The following is a 4473-nucleotide window of genomic DNA, read 5'->3' as shown; positions in this document are numbered from 1 at the left end:
GCAGAGGGGGTGCAAACCCCAGGTCTCAACCCTGTCTCAGAGAAGGGGCCTCTGAGACATTAAGCAGCAGCCACGTAGCATGGCTGCAGGGAAATGGTGAGCTCAGGGAGTGACGCCTGCCGGTAAGGGACGTGTTGCAGAGGATGTTCTGATGGGAAGTGGAGGCCTGGGTCATTCGTTCAGCAGGAGTGCAGGATGCAGAGGGCATGGGAGGCTGAGGAGGGAGGACAGATGCAGGTGCCCAACAAGGGACAAGGAGTCACAGGACACAATGGGATCAGGCTTGGGATGAGGACGATGGGGCTGGGAAGTGGGGGACTCCAGGCTGCTGGAGAAGAGGCAGTTCCCTGGGAGGAGCGAGCTGGCTGATGGTACCCTGCCTGGCAGTAGGGGCCAGCAAGGTGCCAGTGGGCCCCTGTCCCAGTAGCTGCAGGCTCCCTGAGCTCACCCCAGGAGATGGTTGGGGAGCGCAAGGGAGGATACCCAATGGCTCGCCCCTGCTCTAGTGCCGGGTGGGGAGGGAGGCCAGCTGAGGTGGAGGGAGCAGGTCCCACCTGCTTCTTCTGACTCCTAGGATTGGGCACCAAGGAGCGCCAGGGCTGATGTTCCCACCTGCTTCTCCTGACTCCTAGGATTGGGCTCCAAGGAGCACTAGGGCTAATGTTCCCCAGGGTTATCTTATCTGCCCATTGGCATCAATGAGCCGTAAAGTGGACCTCAGCAATCTCTCTGCTCTGGGCCAGGTATGCGTGGGCCACTTCTCCCAACAGTGTCAGGTGACATTGTCCATCCTACAAATGAGGAAAATGAGGCCTGGGCAGGTGGGTCACATGCAAACGGTCCCACAGATGGCCAGAGCTGGTGCAGCTGAGACCCAGGTGTGCTAGGCCGAGAAGCACCCGCCCTTCTTCTTCCCACACTCACCCTCCTGGGCTCTGCACGGGGCTCTCTCTGGTTGCTCCGAAGTCCATGCTTGCTGGGCTCTTGGTTTGCCTTTGCTTTTTCTCTGGTTTGTTTGGGACATGGTTGAACTTACCTCACCAGCAAAATGTGTACTTTCACCTTAGGCTTCGGGTCCACTGCGGGTGATGCTGGGGATAGGCTGGGACTGGCTGGCTCGCTCAACTTTTTGAGATCAGTAATGAGAGAACAGTGGGCCTGATTCAGGGAAGGCAGCAAGGTGTGATGAAGCTCCCTGGGCTGAATGGAAGGAATTGGTTTGGAGAGCCAGCTGTGGCTCTAGGAGTGGCCATCTGACAGTGGATGGGGAGGGGAGGCAGCCATACCAACCCCTGGCCCAGCAACGCAGGGCCAAGCGAGTTGACATGCTGGCCCCTCTCCCTTCCTGCCCTTTGATCTCCTGCCAGGGCCTCCAGCTGGCCAAGCCCACGCTGTCTGCTGAAGCAGACTCAGGGTGAAGACAGGGAGGCTGGACCTGCAGGGGCTGCTGGAGAATACCAGCACAGGCTTCCAGGCCACGCCATTGATTCAATTATTTTACAGCCTTAATTAGGTTCTGACGTTAATCATATATTTCCTTCTAGCTTGCTACAGATTCTTCATCACAGCAGCGTTACGAGTATTATAAATTTAGTACCCATCTGGATAGTTAAGGATTTCATAAAAAGCACACTATTCTATCCTGAGGGTTCTTTCTTCTGAATTTTTCCCTTCCCACAGCTTGTAATCCTGTAAGAGGGTTACATGAAACCAGAGACCGGTTTCATGGAAGACAGTTTTTCCATGGATGGTAGGGGGACAAGGATGGTTTTGGGATGAAACTGTTCCACCTCAGATCATCAGGCATTATTTAGATTCCCCTAAGGAGCATGCAACCTAGATCCCTCATATGTGCTGTTCACAACAGGGTTCGCGCTCCTGTGAGAAACTAATGGCGCTGCTGATCTGACAGGAGGCGGAGCTCAGGTGGTCATGCTCGATGACCCGCCACGCACCTCCTGCTGTGCAGGTGGAATTAATTTTAATGCTATTTTTATTTAGCTTGATATATTCAACATATCATTTCAACATAAAATCAATATAAAGAATTTATCGAGGAGATATTTTACATTCTCTTTTTCATACACAATCTCTGGAACCTGGTGGGTGCGTTACCCTGGCAACACAGCTTGGCTTGAACGTGCCCCCTTCCCAGTGCCCAGCGGCCCTACGGGGTGAGTGGCTGCTGTGTTGGGCGGCACAGGTGTGGACTTTGTTCCTGCCACTCTAATACCCACGCGTCCCTCCTTGATCTTCTCTCTGCCCAGGCTACTGTCAAAGAAGGGCTCCTTGCCAAGAGTTCCCCTCCCTGCCTGCTGCACAAAATAAAAACAGGAGACCTATTTGAGAATGTGCACACTTAACTTTGGTGTCTCTGGAAGCCAAGTAGCTGAGCCAGGGTGACAGTGAGGACGATTTGGGTTAAGGAATCTCCCTCTTTGAGGGGAAAAATGTAGATGAACTCTTTGCAAACCTACAATAATTTTCCTTCCTCTTTCTTCAAAGCAAAGGAGCAATTGTTCTCCCTGTGGTCCACAGCAGAGGGCACCTGTGGAGTAGTGATAACCTGTGTGCTTTGGAGTCAGACAGGACTGGGTTCCAATTCTAGCTCTGTCATCTTTAGCTGTGTGACCCTGGGCAAGTCACCTGACCTCTCTGAGTTTCAGTACCTTAATCTATAAACCTTGAAAAACATACCTACATTTTATGTGGTTCGTGATAATTTACTGAATTGACATATCTAACTTGCCACACACACACAGTACAGGCTCAGCAGATGGTAGCCCCTGTTCTACGTTGGTGAAAAGCAGGTCAGAGAATAGAAAGGAGAAAGTAAATGTTAGACCCAGTACGCCTATCTTCTGAGGATGAGCACAGATCTTCCGGGTCCGAAGGTCAAAAAGATGATGTCACACAGCCCTGGTGGATGGGGAAAAGTCTTTGGCTTAGAAATGCTGGAGTGATTTGAGAGGGACGGCTCTCCACTCGATAAATCATGTCTTATGACAGCTCCAGGGGAGTCTATGGGAACAGTAGCTGCTGAGCTCTGTGCCAGATCCGGCGGCTTCTGTATCAGAAAGACAGCCCAGAGGATGCCACGCGGGAATCAAAAGAGCGAGAGTTACAGGAAGGATGAGTCAGAGCGAGCCAGGGCGAACAACAGTCGTCTGTTCCTTGAGACATGCCGAGGCGCTGGAATCACGCTGTCCCACCACGCGGCGCCTGCTCCTTTCCTGAGCCCTCCCTGACTGCACTGCAGAGCCATGGAATTGTTTTTCTTTTTTAATCACTTGGGTAAATAGATGCTGTGTGTGGCTGTTTAAAAAGTAAAGAACAATCAATTGCAATCCCATGTTAGCGGGTAAAGGAGAGGAGGACTATGGGGAGAAAAAAGGCGAAATGTAAAAATATAAAGAGAAATCATAAAGATCATCTACATGGGTTCCAACTTGTCCAGCCTTTGTGAGCAAATAGGGTGTTTTGCTTTCCCCACGTGGTAGAAATCCATCTCAAAGTAATGGAATATTCTTTTTTTTTTTTTTTTTTTTTTTTTTGAGACAATGTCTTGTTCTGTTGCCCGGGCTGGAGTGCAGTGGCGCAATCATAGCTCTCTGTATCGTTGACCTCCCGGGCTCAGGGGATCCTCCCACCCCAGCCTCCCGAGTAGCTAGGACTCTAGGCACACATGCCCAGCTAATTTTTGTAATTTTTGTAGAGACAGGGTTTCACCATGTTGTTCAAACTGGTCTCTAACTCCCGGGCTCAAGCAATCTTCCCACCTTGGCCTCCCAAAGTGCTGGGATTACAGCTTTGAGCCACTGCACCCAGCCCCGCATATTCTTTTAAAGGTATTCATTGAGTAGACTGAAGAGTTAACTGACCCTATTATGAACCTGCATTGCTTCCTCTCTTCTCCTCCCTCACCCCATGTCTTGGCTCTGTTTTCCTCCATGATGGCGTCATTCCCAGGCAGGAGACAGCAGTGCGAGGCTCACAGTGTCCTTGCACTACCATCCAGACAAAACAACAGTGGCTTTCCTTCCCAGGGTCCCTCTTGGCTCCTCTGCAGCCGTTTCTGCCCCCTTGGGCTAGTGTCAAGGTGGGAGAGGGAGACAAGATTCACAGATTGGCTCCAGTTGATCAAATGCCCACCTCTGGCTGGTGACGTGTGCAGCAGATCCATGTTCAGCAGCAACACACACCTCAAGTGGGAGAAAGCAGCTCTGCAACAGAAGGAGGGGCTGCCATGCGAAGAAAGGAAGGAGTGGGTGTCCCAGCTCCTGGGAGCGCATCTCCAGGGTCCCTGGAACATGGTTTAGGGGACCCTGGTCTCTCCTCTTCTAATATATTTTGCAAATAAGAAGGCTGAGGCCAAAGAGGAGAAACAAAATATAGCTGTAGATCCTCATTATTTGCCAATTCTGTATTTGTGAGTCGGCCTTACTTGCTAACATTTATGTGTGATCCTAAAGT

The 4473-nt window shown here is 51.1% G+C and overlaps 3 annotated features.

Annotated features, from left to right (window-relative positions):
• Window positions 2974–3268: an enhancer, noted in NCBI's record as "tiled region #1285; HepG2 Activating DNase unmatched - State 1:Tss, and K562 Activating non-DNase unmatched - State 20:ReprD". NCBI's record gives its function as "activates a minimal TATA promoter and a strong SV40 promoter by Sharpr-MPRA in HepG2 and K562 cells {active_cell/tissue: HepG2 | K562}" and the evidence as "EXISTENCE:reporter gene assay evidence [ECO:0000049][PMID:27701403]".
• Window positions 2974–3288: a biological region, named in NCBI's record as "Sharpr-MPRA regulatory regions 1285 and 14454".
• Window positions 2994–3288: an enhancer, noted in NCBI's record as "tiled region #14454; K562 Activating non-DNase unmatched - State 20:ReprD". NCBI's record gives its function as "activates a minimal TATA promoter and a strong SV40 promoter by Sharpr-MPRA in K562 cells {active_cell/tissue: K562}" and the evidence as "EXISTENCE:reporter gene assay evidence [ECO:0000049][PMID:27701403]".

Source organism: Homo sapiens, chromosome 2, assembly GCF_000001405.40.
Source record: "Homo sapiens chromosome 2, GRCh38.p14 Primary Assembly".
Classification (NCBI taxonomy): Eukaryota; Metazoa; Chordata; class Mammalia; order Primates; family Hominidae; genus Homo; species Homo sapiens.
The sequence above is the reverse complement of the archived record's forward strand: the minus strand, read 5'-3'. Positions and strand labels throughout refer to the sequence as shown.